Genomic DNA, 25,376 nt, shown 5'->3' with positions numbered 1-25,376 from the left:
CAAGAACTACAAGCCCCACAATGCCGCGCGGAAGCCGGCGGCGCTGATAGGCTGCAGTTCACTTCCGCCTTCTGACTTCCGGCCTCGGAGGCCGGCGTCGGCTGTTGCAGCCTGCTGCGCGCCCAGGGGTCCCGCGGGTTTTCGGGCGCAGGGTGGCGCCCGCGGCAGGCGGCGGCCATGAACTTCTCCGAGGTATTCAAGCTCTCCAGCTTACTCTGCAAGTTCTCCCCGGACGGCAAGTACCTGGTGAGCGGCGGGGACCTGGGCCACGGGCAGGACATCCTCGGTGCCAGCGTCCCCGGCGGGCAGGGCCGGGGGCGGCCGCGTGGGTGGAGGCAGCTTGGGGATCCTGCAGGTGCGGTGCCCGGACAGGTGCGGGGCCCGGGCAGGTACCCGGGGCAGGTGCAGTGTCTGAGCAAGTGCCCCAGACAGGTGCGGGACCCAGGAAGATACCCTAGACAGGTGGAGGGCCCGGGGAGGTGCCCCAAGCAGGTGCGGGGCCCAGGCAGGTACCCCAAGCAGGTGCGGGGCCCAGGCAGGTACCCCAAGCAGATATGGGGGCCGGACAGGTGCAGGACCCCGGCAGGTGCCCGGGCAGGTGCGGGACCCAGGAAGATACCGTAGACAGGTGGGGGGTCTGGGGAGGTGCCCTTGGAAAGGTGGGTATCGGCAGTGCCGACTGCACACAGGTGAGGGTATAGGAGATGTCGGCTCTTTGTTGTTACTTTGTCACAAAAGGCAAATTGATGATTCTGTTGCCTGTAAACTGGTAAGTGGTGTGGCTACTTTGTCATCTCTACTTCTCCTCTAATTCTCTTCTCCTCTACCACATGCCGAATAAATGATTTAAATACTAGTATTCTATCCCCAGGTAAGGAAGTAGTTGTCCTCATGGCTGGGATTTGAGGTCTTCGTTCCATGGGTGGCAGAAGGGTGCTTAAATCACAGAGCTATAACTTTAAGCTTCAAAACATATAGTGTATGTACCTGGATGCCTAGTAGTGTATATCCTCAGAAGAGAGGGATAACCCGGATGCCTAGTATGTATGTCCTCAGAAGAGGGGGACAATTGGCATTGGAAAGCCACTAAGAAGAAACATGCCTCGTAAAAAGTGGGCTTCGTTTTCCTTATCCACCACCTGTACTAACTGACTGATGTATCATGATGCTTTTTCAGGTTTTGCCACTCCTGACATTCCTGTGCTCTGTCTAGCTTTTGAGAGTTTAACTCTCAAATTACGTTTTTTACCTCTTCAGGGAGGTTTTATTCCAAATCACATAAAATAGCATCAGCTACAAAACAGAAAACCTCATTAGTTTAAATGGCATCTCAGCCTTGGTATATTTTCAATGTGCCCCCCTCCTCAATTAAATGAGAGGTTTGTTTTTTGTTTTTACCATTTATGAAAATTTCAGTGAATTATAAGGAGAAAGATTACATCTGCTTGCTTAACTTGGGTGTTTTTTTCCAGCTTGTACACTCTGGTCAAAATACCCTGAAACACTTGGTAATGATCTGTTACTGGAATCATCTTCTTGAAAGCCCTGAGGACTGGGGAGAGCAGGTCCATGTTTCTAGTTTTCATATCTTGCAGTAGAGTTTATGTGGTTCCTCAAGGTGTTGGTAAAAATATTCCATTTCATAAGGAATTCACTGTAACTGATCACAGTTTTCAAAGCTACAGTGTGAGAAAGTAAGTGCTGTGGTAGCTCCTTGTTCCAATCTGCCGTCACCCGCCTGTCTCTCTTTTCTCCCACGGAAAACTAACGTGGCTTTCTTTTTTGATATCGGTTCATAAAACACAAACTACTTTGACCTTGATAAGTAAAACTAACGAAGCAGTTAATATTTAAACATCAGTTCTTGATCTTGAAACTGTAGTAAAATATACATTCAGCAGGTGAGTACTCAGGCGTTATTTTTACTTGAAATTGTTTGCTTGGATAGGGACATAATGAACAAATATGGACAAGAAGAAACTATCTTTAAGAAAATAGTACTAACACTTAAACATTTCCCGTTTCGTGTTAGGAATAGGTTAATGGAGATAAATGAGCATTTGCGAAGCATCTTTATGTGTGCAGAAGTGAAAGCCTGTCTTTTGATCTTCTGTTGTTTTGGCTCTGAGTTCGGCACTGCATAAGAAGATTGATGCATTCCTTGCCATTTTCGTTGTCATCTGTGAAGCCTCAATTCTTACCCTTTATAAATTTGAGGAAATTGTCCAAAAGTGTTTATAAAACTAGCAGAGGATTTTGGTTATTAGTTCACAGAAGAGCTTTCTCCCAATGCTACTTCCCATTTAAGTTTAGTTTTTAACATACAGATAAGAAGGGACTTAAAAATGTCTTAAAGCTTTAAGTAGCGAGTTAAAACATACTTTTATACTTTACAATAGAGTATAGCAATATTAAAACCTGGCTTGTATATTTCAACATTACCCTTGTATGAACTGAACTGATCTTTAGGGGCTGGGGATGTCACTGGTGATCTAGACATGAAACCTCTGGCAGGAGAGAAGGCCACAGTCACTGAAGGCCAGGGCAGTAGCATTCCGAAGGCCCCCCTCTTTTGGAGTGGAGAATGTCAGGTGCTTGCTTTCTCATATTTTTTAGGCTTCCTGTGTCCAGTACCGGTTAGTGGTCCGGGATGTGAACACCCTTCAGATCCTTCAGCTGTACACGTGCCTAGACCAGATCCAGCACATCGAGTGGTCGGCAGACTCGCTCTTCATCCTGTGCGCCATGTACAAGCGAGGGCTGGTGCAGGTGTGTGCTGCCGTGTCGCTTAGAATCTGGACACCTTCTGAGGGCCCCTGGGAAGGAGGGGTTTTGTTCTGTGCCTTTCTAGTTTGAAAAAAAAGTCCGTGCAGCTCAAAGCCAGTTTTCTTTTGAAATTATAACGTTCTCTAAAGTTTAAGAACATTTAAACTAAGGAAACTCCAACGTAGTCTTAATTTCTAAGCAATATAGTTGAGAAACGGAGGTGTTGACAGCAATCTAGCCACGCGGATGTGGTGTGTTTCAGGAAGTCCTAAGAAGTCGTGTTTTCTTCTGTGTCCAAAGCTTAACTAAATGAGGTCTTAGGAATGACAATGTGAATAAACAGTTTTAAAACAACAACGAAATGAAATCACCAAGAAGCGTGGCTTACTTTTACACTGGAATCCAGCACCAGCCCTTCATCATGAAAGGTTCTAAAAGACACCCTGTGTGATCGGGTCTCTGCTGGTTTTAAGGGAGTTGTCTCTCGGCGAGGCCTCGCTATAGACTGCTGATGAGTTTGAAGACACCCTGTGCGGTCGGGTCTCCGCTGCGTTTAAGCGAGCTGTCCTCGCTGTCTCTCGGTGCTGATGAGTTTGCACTTGTGTGTTTCTTTCTTCTCTCAATCCAGGTCTGGTCTTTAGAGCAGCCCGAATGGCACTGCAAAATAGACGAGGGCTCAGCCGGGCTGGTGGCCTCGTGCTGGAGCCCGGACGGGCGCCACATTCTCAACACCACGGAATTCCATGTAAGTGTCAGCCCCAAGACACCTTACTGGCCATGTGATCCTGTCCTCTGCTCTCGAAACAGCTGGGGAGTGCGAGAGGGGGTGTGTTTGGAGTATGCTAGTCTCCCCTTATCCTCAGGGGATGCATTCTAAGACCACCAGGGGATTCAGATTGTACCAAACCCTGTATTTCCTGTGTTTTTTCCTATACAGCATACCTGTGATACATTTAATTTATAAATTAGATACAGTAAGAGATTAGCAACAATCATAGTATAGAACAAGGATAACAATATACTGTTTATAATTGCATGGATAGAAGATTTGGTCTTACTGAAGATCTGAGCAACAACCTCAGCATAGGATTTTTTCTTTCCTTGTTGCGTCAAGAACTTTCAGCTCGTCATTTAAAGGAAGCACTTTGTGGCTTCTCTTTGGCGTATCCAGATTGCGAGCCCCACCGCCCGTGCTTTGGGCTGCTACTGAGTCAGATAAGGGTGTCGTGAACACAGGCACTGTCTGCTGCCCTGGGTCTGATGACTGAGGTGGCTCCCGAGTGGCTGGTAGATTGGCGGGGTTGGAGGGAGCCGGGGAGCGTATATAGTGGTGTGTATATTTTAGGTCAGAGCATTATAAGCCACTAAGTATTATTGTCTGATCTTTTGTCCAGTTTTGAAGAAAAAACATTTTAAAAATCTTAATTTAGATTTTTTAGGATTTCGGCACTCCCTTTAATTCAACGATAGAAAATGCGCTGTGATATGAGCCGGCTCGCACCTTTCCTTCAGGAGCCTGGCCTGGGGGCGTGGCTCGGGGCGGTCGGCAGCCGCCCATTCACCTGCTGTAGGTACCGCACAACAGCCTCCGTGCTGAGCTCAGCGCGGAGGGGAATGTTGACATCCGAGAATAAATCAGAGGGATCTGGGATAGGAGACTGCATTTTAAGTTAAAATTAGGCATATGTCAAGTGTTTAGATACCAGGTCTTTGGTGTCCGCAGTGTCTTTTTAAGATACAGAAAAATGGACGAATTCCTTTAATAATGTGCTTTTCTGATGGAGTTGGATCCCAGTGTTTGGGCCCAAGTCCACTGAGTGCTCATAGCTGTCTGGGCTGCTGGCTGCACCTCGGTAACCCGCCCATCCCGCTGCGCCGCGCACACCACGGGGCAACCCGCCCATCCCGCTGCGCCGCGCACACCACGGGGCAACCCGCCCGTCCCGCTGCACGGCGCACACCACGGGGCAACCCGCCCGTCCCGCTGCGCCGCGCACACCACGGGGCAACCCGCCCGTCCCGCTGCGCCACGCACACCACGGGGCAACCCGCCCATCCCGCTGCGCCGCTCACACCACACTGCAGCCCTCCCGTCCCGCTGCGCCGCGCACACCACGTAGATGATGGCACCTGGGAGGATTTCTCCCAGCGTGTGGCTGCAGATGCTCTGTAGGGTTTCATTCGGCTTTTTTCAAGCTGGCATCGGCTGGGATAAAGTTTTATCCAGCCATGAGGGTTGCTGAATCAACTGCTTCAGATGGCTGGATGGCTTTACATATTTTTCAGTTTCGATTTTAAAAAATACTCCAAATCTAATGTCTGCTATTATGGGCTGTCAGAGAATAAGACAGGAAACAAAGGCCCACCAATGTCTCCGCACTATGTATTGACATTGGAAGGCACTTTCGGCCTGAGTGTTTCAGAGAGGATAATTTGAGCTTTTCACGCAGCCGTGTCTAACAGTCTTCAGGCCTGTAATGCTTTGGGCCCAAATCTGCCCTTGAGAAGGGCTCATGTCATGGGGTCAGCCTTGTTGTATTATCTTATTAAATGGCCCAGAAGGAAAACTACCATCTATAGAGTTTAGAAACCTTAAAAGATGGATAAAAGCCTGGTTTTGTTGAGCATCCCATGTCACACACACCAATATTGAAAACACCTTTGCTACAGAACAAACTGATTTTTCATAGAGTACATTTAGATGACATTGTTCAACCTAAGACTAAGGTCATGACCACTTTGCTGGTGGCCTTAGAGGAAACGTTAAGACCAGGTGGTGGATGAGGACCGGTAACCTCAAGGCATGGGGCATCTTGACCAAGATGTCAAAATGTGTCTCCAGCTTTGCATGCGAACTTTAATGGTTGCAAGTGAGGAAACAAAACCGGAATTCCAGACGTGCTGGCCAGGAAGTGAGCTGCGGGCACCGTCCATCAGTCTCATTCACAAGAGCAAGGACCAGACCCGTTCGAGGATTAGCGGGGCCACTAGGTCCCCTTCTGAAGGCGCGACCCCATGTCCGGGGCTCAGCGGGGCCACTGGATCCCCTTCCGAAGGCGCGACCCCATGTCCGGGGCTCAGCGGGGCCGCTGGGTCCCCTTCCGAAGGCGCGACCCCATGTCCGGGGCTCAGCGGGGCCGCTGGGTCCCCTTCCGAAGGCGCGACCCCATGTCCGGGGCTCAGCGGGGCCGCTGGGTCCCCTTCCGAAGGCGCGACCCCATGTCCGGGGCTCAGCGGGGCCGCTGGGTCCCCTTCCGAAGGCGCGACCCCATGTCCGGGGCTCAGCGGGGCCGCTGGGTCCCCTTCCGAAGGCGCGACCCCATGTCCGGGGCTCAGCGGGGCCGCTGGGTCCCCTTCCGAAGGCGCGACCCCATGTCCGGGGCTCAGCGGGGCCGCTGGGTCCCCTTCCGAAGGCGCGACCCCATGTCCGGGGCTCAGCGGGGCCGCTGGGTCCCCTTCCGAAGGCGCGACCCCATGTCCGGGGCTCAGCGGGGCCGCTGGGTCCCCTTCCGAAGGCGCGACCCCATGTCCGGGGCTCAGCGGGGCCGCTGGGTCCCCTTCCGAAGGCGCGACCCCATGTCCGGGGCTCAGCGGGGCCGCTGGGTCCCCTTCCGAAGGCGCGACCCCATGTCCGGGGCTCAGCGGGGCCGCTGGGTCCCCTTCCGAAGGCGCGACCCCATGTCCGGGGCTCAGCGGGGCCGCTGGGTCCCCTTCCGAAGGCGCGACCCCATGTCCGGGGCTCAGCGGGGCCGCTGGGTCCCCTTCCGAAGGCGCGACCCCATGTCCGGGGCTCAGCGGGGCCGCTGGGTCCCCTTCCGAAGGCGCGACCCCATTTCGGGGGTTAGTGGGGCCGCTGAGTCCACTTGCGAAGGCGCCACCCCACGTGAGGGTGCTGTGGAGCATGGGAGACGTCCCTGCCTCTTGCATTTTAACGTGAAAAGGCAAGCTTGCGCCCATTAGACGAGGTTCAGTGAGTCATCAAAAGCGGCTCACCCCTAGGCCTGCAGCGGAACACTGCCGCGCTTTCAGAGCCCTTCTCTTCCTCGTAGCAATGCCCTCCCCACCTGAGGGCACCTTTGCCCCACGTCTTGCGTGAATCACATCCTCACTGTTCTTGAGTCTCACTGTACAGATGTGTCTAAACACCACATTGCTTGCTGTGCAGTGTAAAGTTGATTTATAGGGGCTTGTACTTTGCAGTCTCTGCTGTTGCTGTTCCCCGTCACTGCTTTTAGACTCCTCCGTGTTGACAGGCATCGCTGGGCCTTCCCTTCCTCGTGAGGAACGCCATTCAGTCCTCGCCTGCTGGACGTGTGCGTCACCACGGACGGTGTGGCTGTGAACGTGTTGTCCCCGTCTCCTGGGCACATACCCGGAGAGCCTCTCTAGGAGAGCCTTGCTTGGCCGTAGCAGACGGAGGGGTTTCATTTGCCAAGGCTTTTGTGGCAGGATTACAATGATTCCATCCAGGCGACTAAATGATACTGCAGTTTGGATTTAGTTTGCGTTTCCCTAATTCTCGGTGAGGTTGAGTGCTTTCCTATCTTGTTTCATTACACACAGACGCTCACACATGCTCCATTTAAATGAAGCAGGTTCACGTAGTGGGGCACACTGTGGGGTCTGAATCCATTTCTACCTTTTCCCAGCAGCATTTTTTTTTTTTTTTTTTTGAGATGGAGTTTCGCTCTTGTCCCCCAGGCTGTAGTGCAATGGTGTGATCCAAGCTCACCGCAACCTACGCCTCCCAGGTTCAAGCGATTTTCCTGCCTCAGCCTCCCGAGTAGCTGGGATTACAGGCATGCGCCACCACGCCTGGCTAATTTTGTATTTTTAGTAGAGATGGGGTTTCTCATGTTGGTCAGGCTGGTCTCAAACTCTCGACCTCAGTTGATCTGCCTGCCTCGGCCTCCCAAAGTGCTGGGATTACAGGTGTGAGCCACCGTGCCCAGCTCCCAGCAGCATTTATTTAGAAGGCTATCTTCACCAGCTATAGCAGGAGCTCAGTTCCATTATACCTGCAGGATCACTTCTGGTTTCCATTCCAGTCCACTGTTGGTCCACCTATGTGCCAGCACCACACTGTCTACATTATTGAGGTTCTATGGTGTGTTTGAATATCTGATGGGACTGATTCCTCTTCATTGCTCTTGTAGTCTGTCAGATTTTTTAAAAACAATTTTTTTGTAGAGTTGGGGTCTCCCTTTGTTTCCCAGGCTGGTCTCGAGCTCCTAAACTCACGCAATCCTTCCTTCCCAGCCTCCTGTATAGCTGGCATTACAGGTGCACAACAGTGCGCCCGGCTCTGCCAGATTTTTAAATGTATTTTTGAGACTTTGTTGTTAGCTGCATACAAACTTTTAACTGTTTGTAAACAGATTTCCTAGTGAAGCGGTTCCCATGATTCCGCGGTGGCACAGGCCTTTTGTTGTAAAGTATTCCTCTTTATGTCTCACGGTTCTTTTTGTTTCAGAGTCTGATTTATCCCGTACGAATGCGGCAGTGCCACCTTTCTCTTGGTTAGGATTTTCTTGATATGTCTTTTTCTATCCTTTTACCTTCTACATTTCTGCATCCTTAAACTTGAGTGTGTATGTTGTAAATAGTCTATAGTTAGCTTTAAAAATATATCCAGACTGCAGACTTTTTCTTATATCTGAATAAAGGCAATTAAAACAATTTATAAGCAAGAGAATTCACCCACTTTAAGAGCACAGTTGAGTGAGTCACTTTGCACGTCATTGCCGCCACAATCAGGACCAAGACTGTTCGCCCGTGGCATGGGGCTCCTCGTGCCCCTTGTGCTCAGTCCGTCTCCCACCTGTGTCCGGCAGCCGGTGCCTGCTGCGGGGCGAGCAGCACTGCCTACTCGGAATCCCATCTGCACAGAGCCATGGTGCGTGGAGCTGTGCGTCTGCTTCCTTTTCCCTGGCATCTTGCTGGTTTTGAGTGTGCTGGGTTGTGGGGTGGATCAGTGGCCCGTTCCTCCATCTTGAGAGTGCTGGGTCATGGTGTGGAGAGAGTGCTGGGTCGTGGCATGGATCAGTGGCCTGTTCCTCCCGTCTTGAGTGTACTGGGTCATGGCTTGGATCCGTGGCCCATTCCTCTCACCCTGAGCATGCTGAGTTGTGGTGTGGATCGGTGGCCCGTTCCTTCCGTCTTCAGCACACTGGGTCGTAGCGTGGATCAGCGGCCCCTTCCTTCCCTCCTGAGTGCTCTGGGTCATGTGGATCCCTCTGGTCCTTTCTTCCTGCTGCTGAGTGCTGTGGAGCCCATCCCACGGGTCTCCTCCGCTGGCTTCTCCAGTGGTCAGTGGAAGGTAACAGCGCTGATGAAGGTGTATATTTAACTACCTTTTTTTCTTATTGGGTTTTTAAAAGTTGCAAAGTTATCTTTTAAAGGTTTTTGTTTCTTTGTTTTTGTGAGATGAAGGTAAAAATCAGGCTTAAAGTGCTCCCTGTGTTTCCTAAGATGTGCCTGAGTGGGGAGCCTCGGCCAGGCGCACCCCACAGGGATGCAGGGCCACAGGTGGGAGATGTGCTTTTCTCCTGTGACTCTGCAGTAGGCTCTGGAGGGCAGGTCTCTGCCCTGGGTGGCACATGGACTCTCCTGATGCTGAGAGGCTCGGGCGCTGCACCCCGCCCTGCTGATGCTGAGATGCTTGGGTGCTCCACCCCGCCCTGCTGATGCTGAGATGCTCCGTTGCTGCACCCTGCCCTGCTGATGCTGAGATGCTCGGGCGCTCCACCCTGCCCTGCTGATGCTCAGAGCCTCGGGCGCTCCACCCCGCCCTGCTGACGCTCAGAGCCTGGGGCGTTCCACCCTGCCCTGCTGATGCTCAGAGCCTCGGGCGCTGCACCCCGCCCTGCTGATGCTCAGAGCCTCGGGCGCTGCACCCCGCCCTGCTGATGCTCAGAGCCTCGGGTGTTCCACCCTGCCCTGCTGATGCTCAGAGCCTCGGGCGCTCCACCCCGCCCTGCTGATGCTGAGATGCTCGGGCGCTCCACCCCGCCCTGCTGATGCTCAGAGCCTCAGGCGCTGCACCCACCCTGCTGAGTCTGAGAGGCTTGGGCAAGGTTTCAGCCTCAGACACGCTGGTGGGAAGTAGCACGCTTCCTCGCTCAGGCCCCAGCGCCCTCCTTGGCCTCAGCTTGTGGAGCTGTTAGAGGAGCAAGTGCTCTGTGCAGCTGGAGTTCCGAGGCATGGTCCCCAGAACGGCCAGTGTGTTTCGGGTTCAGCATCAGCACAGGAGCCCTTCCGTGCTGCCACGTGACCCCTGGAGCTCGTTGATCCACTACCTGTGTGTTCAGGACTTCTCTCCTGAACGCTGTATATGTTGTTTGGAGAAACAATTACAGACATCAGATTTTCTTTTCTGTTGTAAGAAGAGATGATGCGTAGACATTTAAATTAAATCATTTGTTAATATCCTATACTGACAACCTGGCAGCGTTTGCAGGAGTGACACTGTGGACATGCTGTGCCCCACACGCTGCGGCCCCACTTACGCTGCTGGAGACGGTCCCCCACCCCGGGCCTCATCCTCAGCGAGGACCCCTGCCTGACACACACGGAGCTGGCAGTCAGCACCCCACCCCGCATGGAGCTGCGCAGCCCTGTGTCCCCACACACGGAGCTGGCAGTCAGCACCCCACCCCACATGGAGCTGCGCAGCCCTGTGTCCCCACACACGGAGCTGGCAGTCAGCACCCCACCCCGCACCTTGTGTCCCCGCACCTCGGCCATATTTCAGTTAACTACCAGATTCATCAGTGGGCCGGGGATGTGGGAAGCAAGATGATTCCCTGGTAGGCTCCACGGGGTCTCAGTGGGAAATGCAGGTGGAGGGACACAGCAGCCCTGGAAGTCCCGCGGCGCTGCCACGGGGAGGGCTGGACCACCCACTGCGGTGCCTCTCCCTCAGCAGGCACGCCCTCGTCGGCCTGGTTAGAAAATCATCTTTTGGCCTCACTGTGCCAGCCTAGTCAGCTCTCAGCTCCCTGAGTCAGGGAAAGGGGTGGAAAAGTGGACAGTCCAGCAGCGCATGTTCTAGAACCCTCTGCAGATGCAGCCAGGCCAGCGAGCACACGCAGGAGGCAGACGGACACCTTCTTGGGTGTTGAGTGGCTGCTCCTGCCTCAGGGCTGCAGATGCAGGCTCACAGCCCCCTGGTGAGTCCCGGAGTGGCTGCATCCAATCTCCAGATCCTCTGTCTTCCCATAAAGGAGACTGAACCCGTGGTGGTTTCTAGATCAAGATTTTTCTCTGAGTAACTCAGGGTTATTATAACATGCAACCTATGGTCACTTTGAAAAAGCTAATGAAAAAGCACTTGGATTTAACTTTGTGTCACTCAATTTTGGTATAAAACAACAACAACAGAAAACCAAGAACACCAAATTTACCGTAACCACAGTAAAATACGCATTTGAATATTCCGGTAGGAGGGCAGGCATCCCCCAGGTCCTGATAGATCCACTCCAGCAGTCAGGCCTGTGCTTGGGGACGCGTGGGCGGGTTGAGGATTGAGACGGTCTCTGATGATGCTAAAGAAGTGTTTCCTTTCTCTTTCCCCTTTCCCCCAACAGCTGCGGATAACCGTCTGGTCCTTGTGCACAAAATCCGTGTCTTACATCAAATACCCGAAAGCTTGTCTGCAGGGTGAGTCGATCGGAGCCACGCAAAAGCCATTTCTTTGCAGCTGTTTGACTTTTTTGTCACGGGAAGTTTCAAAGAGGCAGAAGTAGCTTCAGCAGCATATCAACACATAGCCAACCCCCTTGGGCTCTTTTAAAGGAGACCTTAGGTCTCCTCATACTTCATCTGTAAATATTTCCATATGTGTCTCAAAAAGGCAAGAGTCCCCTTTTAAAACATGACCACAGTGACTCAAGACAACGTGGCCTAAGACATGGAAGAACGGTGGCGTTGATGCCGGTCCCCTTGACCTTGGCGGCAGAGCTGGGCGTTCAGACCCCTTCCAGCCGATGCCTGTTGAGAGGCCCACCTCAGGCATCCAGTTCTGAGCTTTCTCTCTTCTGTGGACTAAATATGATGTCTGCGAAAGGGGGAGGTCTTGCCTGTCATCTCTGGGCATCCCAGAGGGATATGTGACCAGTGTCCCTTCCTTGTGGAAGCCTGTGAGCCATCTGGAAGAAAGGGGGCCGGCGCAGGGTGGCCCACTGCCAGCGCGTCTAACTGGACCGCGCAGAGCTAGTGGGAGGTGCCACTCCTGAGTCCTGGACGACACCGCACTGTCTTTTTGCGGAATGAAACATACACAGTTGGAATGATGCTTTCATTTTTCTCTGTTGCTGCCAGCGGTTTGGAAATTGCATTTGAATGCAATGCAGTCACACTCTTATTCTTATAGTTGGAATATTAGCGTCCCTCCAGATGAGATACATATCTCTTGATAGGAGTGGACACCGTGGTTTCGTCATTTGAGGTATTCTTTTCACTCAGGAATGATGAATTCTGGCCTAGGGCTTTTTAAGCTAATACAGAACTGGAAAATAAGAGTTTAACATTTTCAACTAAAGTTTCTTCCACATTTTCATCTTATTATTACTTTTTTGAGACAGGGTCTTGCTCTGTCACCCAGGCTGGAGTGCAGTGACACGATCACAGCTCAGTGCAGCCTCGACCTCCTGGGCTTAAGTGATCCTCTCACCTCAGCCTCCTGAGTAGCTGGGACTACAGGCACACACCATCACAGCCGGCTGATATTTTGTAGAGATGGGGTTTCACCAAGTTGTCTGGGCTCCTTTCAAATTCCTAGGCTCAAGCGATTCACCTGCTTCAGCCTCCCAAAGTGCCGGGATTACAGGCGTGAGCCACCATGCCTGGCCACACATTTTCATCTTCAGTTTACTTCTTCCAAATAATTAAATTCAAAGGTAAAATAAATATGGTAGGAACCAGCTGCCTTTTGCCTAGCTGGAGATAGCCCTGGGTGTCCCGCAGCTTAGACATGGGGGGACTCGAAGGCCTGTGTTTCTCACTCATATTTGTGATTAATCAGAGGTCACATCACTTGGTATTTTTGACAGAGCCTTGCAAACCGGCTCCTGTGTGTGTACAGCTTCCCCCAGCACACACTGCGTTGTGAGGGTGAAGGCACCGTGCCTTGGGTTTCTCCTCTGCGCTAGAATGTTCTTGTCTGTCTGAGGAGCAGTGCTCGGCATTGTGCCATTTCCCTTCTTTTCACCTCTGCTTTCTTTTCCTCCTCCTTCCTTGTGAATTACTACTGTGGTTTCTCTTGCTTGATTTTGTGGCCGCTTGATTTCAGTGCATTTGCCTCTTCCCACAGGAATCACCTTCACCAGGGACGGCCGCTACATGGCGCTGGCAGAACGGCGCGACTGCAAAGATTACGTGAGCATCTTCGTCTGCAGTGATTGGCAGCTCCTGCGGGTAAGGCGTCCCCCAGACTGGAATAAAGTTGTCCTGCTGACTGTGGAGGGATCGAGTGAAGTAGATCCTTCCAGATTCCAGGGGATCTTTGGTAGGATATGGAGCAAGGTGATGTTGTATTAACAAAGGGCAGGTGCGCTGCGAATCACTTCCAGTGGCACCCGGTTGTGTGTTCAGGAGACTTGGTGAAAAGGACGCGTGCCCAGGTGTTTTAAAAGTGAATATGCTGTCACATTTGAGCCCTTTTCCTTGTCCTGTGTGATGGTGTTTGCGCATGTGTGTGCCACGTCGGGAGTTGGGGGGACGTGGAAGTTCACCTTGACTGAGGGCCTGCATTAGGCAGGGCGCTCTGCCAGGTGCCCAGGCACAGAGGGCACTGCCCCCACAGCAGACATATGAACACGATTCCAGCACAATCCATCATTAAGGTAGAGCAACCTCTGGAATGCTGTCAGAGTGCAGAACCCGGGATCCAGGCAGTGCTCTGGAAGGGACTTGTCTGAGCTGGGTCTAAAGGAGTGAGCCTGGCCAGGCAAGGAAAGGTGAGGGGGAGAGTGTGCACATGAGTGCAGGTGCGGGGAGACCAAGCCACCTTCGGGGGCTGGCCAGGCAAGGAAAGGTGAGGGGGAGAGTGTGCACACGAGTGCAGGCGCGGGGAGACCAAGCCGCCCTCGGGGGCTGGCCAGGCAAGGAAAGGTGAGGGGGAGAGTGTGCACACGAGTGCAGGCGCGGGGAGACCAAGCCGCCCTTGGGGGCTGGCCAGGCACTGACGCTGGCATCTGTGGCGGTGCAGCCCCAGCAGCAGCTCTACAGGGATTTCATGCATTTCCAGGATAGAGCTGTTGAGATTTTGTCAATTTCTATATAAGGAAATTAAGTGCGTTAAGAACATCAGTCATAAATGCAATTATTTATTTACGAAAATATTTTCCAAATTTAATGTTTCCCCCCCTTCCTTTGGAAGCATTTTGATACGGACACCCAGGATCTCACAGGGATTGAGTGGGCCCCAAACGGCTGTGTGCTGGCAGTGTGGGACACCTGCTTGGAGGTATGAAGATGACCAGGTGACATGTTTGCTTTCGAGAGCTTTTCCCGGAATTTCATGCTTTCTGAATGCTGCAATATAGTTTGCTTTATCTTATTTCAGATAACAAGTTGAGCTTTGTTTTAAAAGACAGGGTCTTGCTCTGTCACCCAGGCTGGAGTGCAGTGGTGTGATCACGGCCCACTGCAGCCTCGACCTCCTGGACTCAAGTGATCCTCCTACCTCAGCCTCCCAAGTAGCTGGGACCACAAGCATGCACCACCACGCCCGGCTAATTTTTGTATTCTTTGTAGAGATGGGGTTTCACCGTGTTGCCCAGACTGCTCTTGAACTTCTGTGTTCAAGTGATCTGCCAGCTTCGGCCTCCCAAAGTGCTGGGATTACAGGCGTGAGCCACAGTGCCCGGCCGAGTTGAACTTTTATCAGCGAGCCATTAGGTTGACCTCCCAATTTCCCCTTTTTCCTCATGCTCTCACTGCCTCTCCGTGACTATCTCAGTACTAGCTGGCAGTTCCAGCTTTTCCACGGCCACGCGGACAGTCCTGCCAGCTTTGTGCTATCTGCACCAATGTCACTCTGCAGCACCCGCGTCTGTGGTGTGTTCCTGGCGACGGGGGTGTATTCATTATTAACTGAAATGTCTCATCTGCAGTACAAGATTCTGCTGTACTCATTGGATGGCCGGTTGTTGTCCACGTACAGCGCTTACGAGTGGTCCCTGGGCATCAAGTCTGTGGCCTGGAGCCCCAGCAGTCAGTTCCTGGCAGTTGGGAGCTATGATGGAAAGGTGGGAACCAGTGCAGGGCACTCAGGAAGTCCGACCGCCCAGCGGGCCGGGCCCTGCCTCACCTGTGCATGGTTTCCTTCCTCAGGTGCGCATCCTTAATCACGTGACTTGGAAAATGATCACGGAGTTTGGGCATCCTGCAGCCATTAATGATCCCAAGATAGTAAGTCTGGAACACGTGTTTCTGCCTGAGCAGGCTGTTGGGGAGGGCGGTGGGAAACTGCTCCTTCACTTTGCTTTCTTGATTGTGGTTTATTATTTAACCGGGCACTTCCATCACCGTAAACTTGCTACTGTGACATTTCACGCGTCTGGCCCTGCCCTGGCCTTTGTTCTTCCTCCTCCACGCTGCCCAAAGGGTCTGAAGTGGGCCTTGCCCTGGCCTGTCCTCTGCCGCTGCCACCCCAGTCCAGTTTTCTCCTTTGTGGTCTGTCTGGATGCAGATCCCTGTGCTGTACAGAGTGGCCAGGGTCTCCTGCCCCCAAACACTGGGCATCTGCTGTCGTGCCAGGCACTGTGCTCTGGGCCGCAGCCAGAGAAGAAGAGACAGACCCCTGCACTTGCAGAGTGCGGCTGGAGAGACAGGGAAGGGGCTGGAGAGCTGGGTGTCTCCACGGGGTGGCAGGGAGTGGCCACCAGCGAGGGATCGCAGGCACAGATGCTGCACCAGTGATCAGGGACTCGGGGAGGGAGCGTTCCAGGCCAAGGGAACAGGAAATGCAAAGGCCCCGAGGAGTGGGCCACGCATCCATGTGTGCAGCGGGCACTGCGCTGGGAGCCAGAGACAAATGCTGCCCTCCTGGTGTTGACCTGTAACCGACAGAGCTGAGTGAAAGGCGGCTTGGATTCGATGAAGAGGCCAGTGAGTGGCTGGGGCTGCGCATGCCAGATCAGCCACTGCCGGGGATGCATCCTGGAGGGGTGTTTAAGTGAAGACCAGGAGGAGGAGCTGCGCGGTGTCTGGGCAGAAAGGGTGTTTCAGGCAGAGGGGCCTCCTGACGTGGCCAGTGGCTTGTGTGGCTGGAGGCCAGGGTGTCTGGACAGGTGAGCCCGAGCAGGGCTGGCCACACAGGTCCTGAAGGTTTGCCTGTGATTCCTGCATTCTCCAAATCCCTTCGCCACACAGCAGCAGAGCATGCTTTAAAGGCATGAACCAGGCCAGGTGACTCCCTTACCTGGGGCTCTTCAGGGGCGTAGGGGCTGCCCGCCTTCCACTGAGCCTGGGCCGCTGTCCTTTGCTTGCCAGGCTCTCGGGCACAGATGCCCCCACCTCGGGTCTGTGTCTGCTGCTCCCGGGGCCTCTGCTGTGTTGGTGCAAGTGTTCTCTGTATCCTCTTATCACGGAGGGAAGGCTGAGCCCACTCCCTTGCTGGATGATGGTGGCTGCAGTGGTCTCCCGTCTGTAATCACAGGGCACACATTTGCTGCCTGTGTCTCAAAGGGTGGGCTCCTCAGCAGGACACGAGAGAGGGTGGCTGGGTGATCTCAGCTCTCGGGACTGCGGGGTTCGTGCTTCCGTCTCTCCCGGTGGCAGCAGGACCAGCTGTCATGGCAGGCACACCTGTTGACCATGCGCTGTCATGGGCATTTGCCACGTCCATCCTTGGCTTCCGGGTCCCTGTCCTGAGCCGGGCGTGGCCACCTTGTGTCTTTCAGGTGGTGTATAAGGAGGCCGAGAAGAGCCCACAGCTGGGACTGGGCTGCCTCTCCTTCCCGCCGCCCCGGGCCGGGGCCGGCCCTCTCCCGAGCTCAGAGAGTAAATGTAAGTAGCACATGTGATGTCATTTGTTTTCCTTTTTTAATGCAAGATTCCTCGTTGTCCAGATAAACTTCGGATGTTCCTTATGTTTAAAAAAAAAAACTTTTTTTCCCTTCCATGCTTCCAGCCAGTGTGCCCCTCAGCCTGTTGGCTGGAGGTTGACTAGGGTCTGAATTGCGCAGTGGGCCGTGAAGGTGCGGCTTCTGTTACTGAATATGAGCCCTGGAGACCCGGATCTGACAGCGGGAGCTCCGAGGGGATGTTTTTCCGGAGCTCCGAGAATGATGTTTTTCAAAGAAACACTTTTCCGTGGGTGGCGCTCAGAGTGGGTCTGGAACCCGGCGGTGCTCCCGAGCGCTGTCTCCGGCTTGAGGCCCGGTTCTGATGCAGCCTCTTGACTCTGGGCATTTCCTATGTGTCTGTTTCCTCATCGCTGAAATGGGCATAGTAAAAGCACCCATCCCACAGGGGCATGAGGGCATCTGAAGGTTGCAGGTAGAGGAAGCGGTGCCCCAAGTGCCGACGGGCCCACCCCGGGGCTCGGTGTGTGCTCAGGATGGGGGTCAGGACAGGTGCAGCCTGGCACACAGGAGGCGCTCCCCAGGAGCCCAGGGGCGTCCTTGTTCCACAGCCCCTGCTTCTGCTGTGATGATGGTTCTTCCACAGCCGGAAAGTCTAAGGGTACTGACGCTGAGGTGGAAGGGATTGTGAACTCAGATGCTGGTAGTCGACAGAAAAGTGCTGAGGAGTTGGAGCTGCTGAGATTGCAGCTAGGACCTGTCCATGTCCCTCTCCAGTCAGCCCCTGGCACGTGGGGTCCACCCCCCACCTAGTCGGGCCTGGCAGGTGATGGTGCCACTCTCATCCGGGGCACTTGCGGGCAGGCCCCTCGCTGCGGCTGCCAGGCTTTGCTTAGCTCTTCCTGCCCTTGGGCCGCACTTTCCTCCCCTTTGAACAGAGGAGCTGGGTTCGCGATGCCCGATGCAGGCACAGCAGCCTCTCAGCCGCGTGCGTACTTCCCGAAAGGGTGACAATGGCGTGTTCTTCCTGTTGGTGTTCTAGATGAGATCGCCTCTGTCCCAGTCTCCTTACAGACACTGAAACCTGTTACCGACAGAGCAAACCCGAAAATCGGCATAGGAATGCTGGCATTTAGTCCTGACAGCTACTTCCTGGCGACAAGGAACGGTCAGTTGTGCTGACGCAGGTGCTGTCTCACCCTTTACTGTGTCCTGTGGCCCCAGGTGTAGAAGCGACTGGAAAAGAAAATGAAGTTGGGGGTTTCCGACACGTCACCTCCTTTCACGTTTCTGCAGTAGCCGAGGTGCTCACAGAAGCTCCTTGGAGGCGCTGGGCCTTTGTCCTGCAGCAGCCGCAGGTCCGCGCATGAGTCAGGAGGCCTCCACCCTGCTCACTTGCTCCACTCTGCTGAGTAGAAAGCAGGGCTGGGCACACTGCAGCCCGCCTTTTGTTAAGGGTTTCTCCATTTGTAAAGGGCTAAAAAAAAAAAAAAAATACCAAAGAAAGAAACACATTTGGGCCCCTTACAGCCCGTGATGGCCACCCTGGCCCTGGCCAGGAGCCCTACAGGGCCCAACTGAACCCAGACTGCAGGGTGCAGCCGCCCCACCCCACCGGTTCTTCCCCTCCCCTCCTGTGGTGTCAACAGCAGAGCAGAGGGGCAGGGCCAACACAGAGGAGCCAGGCAGGGATGACACCGGTGCCCTGTCCTTCCTTCCTCAGACAACATTCCCAATGCCGTCTGGGTCTGGGACATTCAGAAGCTGAGGCTGTTCGCGGTGCTCGAGCAGCTGTCCCCAGTGCGCGCATTTCAGTGGGACCCGCAGCAGCCGCGGCTGGCCATCTGCACGGGAGGCAGCAGGCTCTACCTGTGGTCCCCAGCGGGCTGCATGTCGGTGCAGGTGCCTGGGGAAGGTAAGCACATCCCCGAGGCCACGGACGTGGCAGCCTTGCTGTGTGCAGTCTGGCATCACACGGGCTGAACTGTTGAAGCCCAGCTGCTGTCTCCGGCAGCACTCCAGGGAAACTGCCCTCAGAGTCTTTGCGTAAACCTCAAGACGGACACACAGGGGACCCGCTGCCCTCAGCTTTATGGGCTAGAAGCAGCCTCTCCCTGACTTGAGGCAGCTCTGGGGCTCCACCCTGGCTCTGCCTATGTGGGTCACTCCAGGCACTGTGCTGGCCTGCAGGACAAGGGGGTGCCCATCCCCCAGAATCTGGGCCTCCCCTGCTGTAATCCTCTGGCCACCTGTCTCTCTCTAGGCGACTTTGCAGTGCTCTCTCTGTGCTGGCATTTAAGCGGAGACTCGATGGCCCTCCTCAGCAAGGATCACTTCTGCCTCTGCTTCCTGGAGACAGAGGCAGTGGTCGGCACAGCCTGCAGACAGCTGGGCGGCCACACGTAGCAGCGGTGCACTAACGTGTGCAGAAACAGGGCTACTCTGTGTTTCCAGTGTGGGAAAAAACACAGCTTCACCAGGAGGTTCTCCACTGTGGTGGTCTGGATTCAGTGATTGATTCTATTTTTCTATAGCAAAGCATTTTTGTAAATATGTATGGTATAAAACTGTAGTTTTATTATTTAAAATAAATACTTGCTGATTTATACAACTACTTCTCTTCTTGAAACGTTTAGTCACAGGCAGGTTTTCTAGGTTCGAGGTTCTGGTCAGTCTTAGGGAAGATGGATAGCCCTACAGTAACTGAGCCCCGGGCCACTAGCTCCCGCCAGACACCCGGCCTGCTCTGGGTTCTCTGTTTGGATGTGTTAGGACAACGAGGGGGCATCTCTGTGGGGCACATCCAGCCTCCCCACAGTGGGTCTGAAGTGTGGGCAGGGAGCCCTGGCACCTGAGAGCAGCGCCACCCCCAGGTCCAGTCCCCTCGGGATGGGAGCTGCAGGTCCCCGACCAGCTGAGTCAGTTCCTCAGGAAGTCTCATGTCTACTCTGGTTTCGGAACCAGTGTGCGTGGGTCTCCACCCTGGCTATTTGCAGGAAGTGCCTAGAACCACCCAGAACCATTCCATCAATCTCTCCAGCTGGTGCTCGGCAGGCAGCCAGACTTGGTTGGCACCACAGGTGGGGGGATCAGGGTTGCAAACCTAGGTTGTTGCATATCGTGATCTCTTTCTGCAGAGAACCATACTCGGCACTGCTGTGACAGGCAGTCCGCATGGTACAGGCAGAACAGGCCCACAGGTGCAGAGCCGGCAGAGATGGGGCAGGCTTTCAAAGAGGGAAGAGACACTTTCTTGGTTGTTGCACCTACTTTAATGACAACTTCAAAAAAGGAACAACATCCATCCACTTCTTAATGTCTTTATGAACACAGAGGCTAGAGTCCCCAGCCAGCTTCTGAGGCAGCCCTGCACATCCTGCAGGTGGCCACACTCAACCCATGCCACACCGTTTGCTTAAAGCTACAAGTCCTAGAGCTGAAGAACTGGCAAGCCAGTGCGTGAAGCTTATCGACAGCGCTTCCAGCCACACGAGCAAGCTGCGCAGATACAGGGAGGTGCGTGGGTCCCTGTGGGGAAATCCTCCAGGCACATCGAAGCCCGGGCATGTTTAGTGTGAGACTTGGACAAAGTCCTCTGTCTACACCAGAGTGGTAGGAACCAAGGCAGGCATCAGCTGCGTCATAAGGATCTGGTAGATGGAGTCTCGCTCTGTCGCCCGGGCTGGAGTGCAATAAGTGGTGCCATCTCAGCTCACTGCAACCTCCGCCTCCTGGGCTCAAGCGATCCTCCTGGCTCAGCCTCTCAAGTAGCTGGGACCACAGATGTGCCACCACGCCTGGCTGCTTTTTGTCTGTTTGGTAGAGACGGGTTTCACCATGTTGCCCAGGCTGCTCTGCAACTTCTGAGCTAGAGCGATTTGTCTGCCTGAGCCTCCCAAAATGCTGGGATTACAGGCATGAGCCACCATGCTGGCCTGATACGGTTCCTTGTTTTAAAGTGCATTATTCAACAAGCAAAGTACCCGATTCCCTTTAACTATGAATACAATACAAACTTCGAATCCAGAGAGGTGTAAAACTTGTGTGCAAAGAACTGTCAAGGTGACTTTCTCAAATTAATAAATTGTCTTACAATGATTTTCTGTAAAGCTTTCTGGGTCTGGGAAACAGACCTGAAGTATTAACACAACTTGGGTTAATTGTGGAAAAAGTGTCACTTCAGGTCACCCATTTCCAAAAGAGCAGCGGGTCACCAAGGGGCCCACAGCCACAGACCGGTCTCAGTCAACCGGTCTGCTGGCTGCTTTTGGATGAGCTGAAGTAAAAATGGATTACATTTTAAAATACAAAATTGGACACCAGGTGTAAACATACTTGCAACTGCAGGCACTCGAGATACCAGGTGCCTCCCTGTTTTCAGCAACCTAGGCAAGCGCTAAGGGGTGTGCTATGGGTCCCGCGTGCTGGGGCAGCTGGGGTGGGAAAAACCACGAGAAGCCAAGTAGATACTCAAGGAAAACACCAGAACTGAAGTTACAGAGAATGAAATACCAGCAGCACAGGGACAGCGAGAGTCTTTTGGCTTTTGTCTGTAGCTTATATGAGCAGAGTCCAATATCCAATTAAATAGATAGAATTCACTTTACGATTCTAATTGTGCTGAGATCCCTAAAGGTGAAAGATCCCCATCCTTCCAGCAGCAGCAGGGCAGCATGAAGACTGCCAGGCCTCCCAGTCCCCCAGCCCCCACATCCCTTGGCCTTCTGGGGAGGGGGAGGAGCTCCCAGAAGGGGGAGGAGCTCCCAGAACGCAGCGGCTAAAAGCCTATTTTGCCCCTGGTCATGGAGTAGCCCAGTTTCGCCTCGTTGTTAATGAAGGACATGAGTCCCACGTAGGTCTCGATGAGCAGGGGGCGCTCCAGGATCAGCACGCCATTCGCCTGTCCTGGCAAAGGGCTTTCTTTTTGGGCTTTTTTGACAGCTTGGATTAACAGAGCCTTGAAGCTTTCCAACTTTAAAGAGAGAAAAACATGGAGCTTTAACTGTCAGGCAAGATAAGAATGTCTATTACTTGAAAAAATTAGCATTCTGAGACACTTAAATCCCTCCAAATGCCGCCTATCTCTTCGTCCCTTCACTTGAAAGGGCTGCCTCTGCCACATCCTGGGGGTCTCTCAACTCTCGTCCCCACGGAGCTCTCTAGGTGTGTGGAAATCTTGCCACCATGCTCTCCTGTGGCCAATGGCAGCCAGCACCTGCAGAACCCTTCCTGTATACAGGGCTGAGTGGCTTTGCCGTCACCCAACCTACCAGGTCAGTAACCAGGCCGAGGCACACAGCTGGGGAAGTGCAGGACCCCCGCCAGGCTCTGGGCTCTGGGCTCTGCTCTAACCCCAGCCCCGAGGCCTCCTCTCCTGGTGCGCATCCGCACTGGTCATCTGGCACGGCTGGGTCTGCTGCCACTCTCTGAAGCCCAGCTGGGGCCCTTCCCCACCCAGATCACCATCAGGAGGCCACATTATGGAGCTATGCTAACCAGCAGCCACTGGCCACATGCGGCTACTTTAACATAAATTAACCAGAATTTCTGACAACTTAGGGAATCAACTCTAAAATGAGAGCTTCCTCTCTCATTTCTAGCCACGTCTCAAGTGCTCGGCAGCTCCGCGTGGCCGCCGGACAGTGCAGACCTGAAGTGTCTCCGTGACTGCGGGGGGTGTTTCCATCACTGCGGGGGGCGCGGCTATTTATGTGCCTGTCTTCTTACCTGACACAGAGATGCTGTCTTCTCATCTGCGCCAGCCATCGGGTGTTCTGTGAAAGTGGCATAGGGCACGTTGGTAGACCAGGGATTCCATCTGTTTATGAAGGAAGGACGACTTTGCTTGTCCCACTGAATTCGAATCCCAAAACCTTCTCGCCTGAAAAGTCAGAAGAAATAGCCAGACTTAGCATGGCAGGCCACAGTGCTCTCATGGACAATCTGACAGTCTCATCAGTTAGGAGAATATGACAGCAAAAAGCACACGTTTACAGAAAAGACCTATGACATATCACAATGGAAAACGGCTTGTAGTTTTTATTTTTGTTTTTATTTATTTTTATTTTTTGAGATGGAGTTTTGCTCTTGTTGCCCAGGCTTGAGTGTAGTGGCCTGATGTTGGCTCGCTGCATCCTCCACCTCCTGGGTTCAAGCGATTCTCCCAACTCAGCCTCCGGAGTAGCTGGGATTACAGGCATGCACCACCACACCCAGCTAATTTTGTATTTTTAGTAGAGACAGGGTTTATCCATTTTGGTCAGGCTGGTCTCAAACTCCTGACCTCAGGTGATCCGCCCGCCTCAGCCTCCCAAGGTGCTGGGATTACAGGCGTGAGCCACCGTGCCTGGCCGGCCTGTGGTTTTTAGTAGTAACTTCAATCTCCACTAACAATTGCTTTAAATACTGTGGGTATAAATATGACAAATTAGGTATATTTTGGTTATTAAATGTATTATTTTGGTAATCTTTACATGATTAAAAATTAATAAACAGGAATACTGGCTGGGCACGGTGGCTGACATCTATAATCCCAGCGCTTTGGGAGGCCAAAATGGGCGGATCTCTTGAGCCCAGGAGTTTGAGAACAGCCTGGGCAACCTAGCAAAACCCCATCTCTACAAAAAATACAAAAATTAGCTGGGTGTGGTGGCGGGCACCTGTAGTCCTAGCTACTTGGGAGGCTGAGGTGAGAGGATCACTTAAGCCTAGGAGGTGGAGGATGCAGTGAACCAAGACTGCACCACTGGTGCCTGGGTGACAGAGTGGGACTCCGTCTCAAAAAAAAAAAAAAAAGGGAATAATTATAGATAGGCTAGCCAAATGAGTGAAAAGGAAGTGTAATCTTCCTTTTCCTTATGTCATATTAAATGTTTTAACCAAAAGGTAAAATTTTTATTTTAGCTTCCTGAATCCCCCATCCAAATCTCTCCATCAAAAACCCAAGTTCTACAGCTTAACTGACTGTAGTAATGTTTAGGTTCCTCACGTCAGAAAATTATCCTACAGCAAAAAGATCAACTCCTGAAAGCTGGTCATTAAATATTTCCAAATTTGTCTTTTAGTGGTATCTATAAATTACAACGGGACCCTCCATTTCTCTTTAAAAAATTAGCCAGAGCAAGACTTGATGTGTCATATGCAATCTGTCCCTGGCTGGAGAAAAATGCAGAGTTTGGACTTTTCCTGAAGAACATCCAAGTTCCTTTTTAACACGCTGGGCTCTACTTCAATGCATCCTGAACTCATGTAAGTCTTTTTACTACCAGCCTAATAGCTGCCTTCTGTGCCAGAATTCCTTTTAATGCACTCAATTGCCCAGAAGTCGCTTCTTTTTAAGGAACTTCCCATTGATATTTGGAGCTGGAGCCTTTGTGCTTATAATTAATGACAGAGAAGACACACCGCTTGGGGGGCTGATTTAAAAGGGCTGAATTGTAAGGTCCACTCTGGTGCTTAGGTCCAGTGATACTGGACTCTGAACAGGCTTACTTGTTGAGCGATTTAGGGGGAAACTGGAATTCTCCGTAGGAAATGGTGTCTACTGCGTTGAGCGCTATCCGCACCACCTGCTGGCACTGGAGACTGATGAAGTCGTATTTACAGATAAGCAGGGACTGCTCCGTGACCAGCACCAGCCGCTCCTTCTCATTGTTCCAGTGATCCACCCTGTAGGCAGAGGAGGGGCCTCAGTCCACACTGGACGCGGCTGTCTCGACTTAGCCAAGGCCAGCCCGCCTGGAAGGGCAGCAGGGGCGGCACGGGGCGCCTGAGCGTGGCACGAGCACCCCGGGAAGTCCTCGCAAGGTGCTGCGCGGCGGCTCGGGGCGAGTCCCCCCACCAAGGAGAGCGCAGCCCCGGCTTACTCGGTAAGCAGCCACACTCCCTGGATCTCGCCGTCCTCCACGGGCCGCACCACCACGCGGATCTCCTCCACTGCCTGCTCGATGCTGCCGGGCTGGGCGGGTTGCGGGGTGGGGGACGGGGGCAAAGATCACAGGTCACAGCTCGCTCCCTGCGGGACCGCCCGGCGCCCGCCTCCGACCCCACCCGCCCCCATCCCGCCCCGCGCCCTCGGCCCCCGCCCCGGCCCTGGCCCCTGCCTCACCCGGAACACGAAGTACTCCTTGACGCGGGCGCGGCGCGTGGGGTCGTGGATGCTGAGAGGCCAGAGTGTCTGGCGCAGCGGCGTCCCCGCCCCCGGCCGCCCCCCGCCCGGGCCGCCGCCTGCCCCCACCTCCTCGCCGGCCGCCAGCACCGCCGTGGGGCTCGTACCGGCCGAGTCCACCGAGTCCCGCAGTTGCAGCATTGCCGCACCCCTTACCGACCCCGACCCTGACGCCGACGCGACCGCCGTCGCCGCAGCCACCGCCACCACCCGGCCGCGCCCCCGGCCCCGCCCCGCGGACCGCCGCGATTGGCTCCGCCTTGCCGGCCCCGCCTCTGGCTCCGCCCCTTCCCGCGTCCGCCGACCCTCGGGATTGGCTCTCCTCCTGCCGTTTTCCGCGATTGGCTCTGCCCCGCCGCCGTTCACAATCGCTCCCGCCCCTCGCCGGGCCGGAAGCGACCGTCACGCGCAGG

General features: G+C 53.8%; 2 protein-coding genes across 6 annotated transcripts, besides 4 other annotated features; one reads left to right on the top strand and one right to left on the bottom strand.

Annotated features, from left to right (window-relative positions):
- WRAP73 (WD repeat containing, antisense to TP73) lies at positions 74 to 19,407 on the top strand. Of its 5 annotated transcripts, none has more exons than XM_017001387.3 (12): positions 74 to 246; positions 2,617 to 2,769; positions 3,395 to 3,511; positions 11,355 to 11,427; positions 13,079 to 13,182; positions 14,147 to 14,233; positions 14,883 to 15,017; positions 15,103 to 15,180; positions 16,674 to 16,779; positions 17,860 to 17,964; positions 18,520 to 18,711; positions 19,060 to 19,407. In XM_017001387.3, the coding sequence occupies exons 1-12, from the start codon at positions 178 to 180 to the stop codon at positions 19,200 to 19,202; spliced, it is 1,362 nt and encodes a 453-aa protein (XP_016856876.1). In that variant the 5' UTR covers positions 74 to 177; the 3' UTR covers positions 19,203 to 19,407. The 5 variants fall into 5 exon arrangements, with proteins under 5 accessions (XP_016856876.1, NP_060288.3, XP_047277617.1 ...); NM_017818.4 differs by having other exon boundaries at positions 17,839 to 17,964; XM_047421661.1 differs by lacking the exon at positions 14,883 to 15,017.
- Positions 7,620 to 7,865: a silencer, noted in NCBI's record as "fragment chr1:3558876-3559121 (GRCh37/hg19 assembly coordinates)". NCBI's record gives its function as "represses an EF-1alpha promoter that drives an FKBP-Casp9 reporter gene in an ReSE screen in HepG2 liver carcinoma cells {active_cell/tissue: HepG2}" and the evidence as "EXISTENCE:reporter gene assay evidence [ECO:0000049][PMID:32094911]".
- Positions 8,697 to 9,197: an enhancer, noted in NCBI's record as "H3K27ac hESC enhancer chr1:3557544-3558044 (GRCh37/hg19 assembly coordinates)". NCBI's record gives its function as "activates a minimal SCP1, AML or CMV promoter by ChIP-STARR-seq in primed H9 embryonic stem cells {active_cell/tissue: H9 hESC(primed)}" and the evidence as "EXISTENCE:reporter gene assay evidence [ECO:0000049][PMID:30033119]".
- TPRG1L (tumor protein p63 regulated 1 like) lies at positions 20,050 to 25,162 on the bottom strand. The gene is made up of 5 exons (NM_182752.4): positions 24,904 to 25,162; positions 24,662 to 24,753; positions 24,288 to 24,464; positions 22,524 to 22,677; positions 20,050 to 21,768 (listed from the first exon to the last, which is right to left on the bottom strand). Exons 1-5 carry the CDS (start codon positions 25,102 to 25,104, stop codon positions 21,574 to 21,576), a joined length of 819 nt encoding a protein of 272 aa, NP_877429.2. The 5' UTR covers positions 25,105 to 25,162; the 3' UTR covers positions 20,050 to 21,573.
- Positions 24,126 to 24,788: an enhancer, noted in NCBI's record as "H3K27ac hESC enhancer chr1:3541953-3542615 (GRCh37/hg19 assembly coordinates)". NCBI's record gives its function as "activates a minimal SCP1, AML or CMV promoter by ChIP-STARR-seq in primed H9 embryonic stem cells {active_cell/tissue: H9 hESC(primed)}" and the evidence as "EXISTENCE:reporter gene assay evidence [ECO:0000049][PMID:30033119]".
- Positions 25,089 to 25,318: a silencer, noted in NCBI's record as "silent region_121". NCBI's record gives its function as "represses an Ori minimal core promoter by ATAC-STARR-seq in GM12878 lymphoblastoid cells {active_cell/tissue: GM12878}" and the evidence as "EXISTENCE:reporter gene assay evidence [ECO:0000049][PMID:35858748]".

Source organism: Homo sapiens, chromosome 1 (assembly GCF_000001405.40).
Source record: "Homo sapiens chromosome 1, GRCh38.p14 Primary Assembly".
NCBI lineage: Eukaryota > Metazoa > Chordata > Mammalia > Primates > Hominidae > Homo > Homo sapiens.
This window is presented reverse-complemented; position numbering and strand designations above follow the sequence as displayed.

Bases quoted from the DNA above. Each gene is read 5' to 3' on its own strand.
- WRAP73 (NM_017818.4), top strand. From the start codon at position 178: ATGAACTTCTCCGAGGTATTCAAGCTCTCCAGCTTACTCTGCAAGTTC. The intron at 15,181-16,673 runs GTAAGTCTGGAA...TGTGTCTTTCAG, and splicing joins CCATTAATGATCCCAAGATA to GTGGTGTATAAGGAGGCCGA. The intron at 16,780-17,838 runs GTAAGTAGCACA...TTGGTGTTCTAG, and splicing joins CCCGAGCTCAGAGAGTAAAT to ATGAGATCGCCTCTGTCCCA.
- TPRG1L (NM_182752.4), bottom strand. From the start codon at position 25,104: ATGCTGCAACTGCGGGACTCGGTGGACTCGGCCGGTACGAGCCCCACG. The intron at 22,678-24,287 runs GTAAGCCTGTTC...CTGACTTTTCAG, and splicing joins CCCCCTAAATCGCTCAACAA to GCGAGAAGGTTTTGGGATTC. The intron at 21,769-22,523 runs GTAAGAAGACAG...CTCTCTTTAAAG, and splicing joins AGACAGCATCTCTGTGTCAG to TTGGAAAGCTTCAAGGCTCT.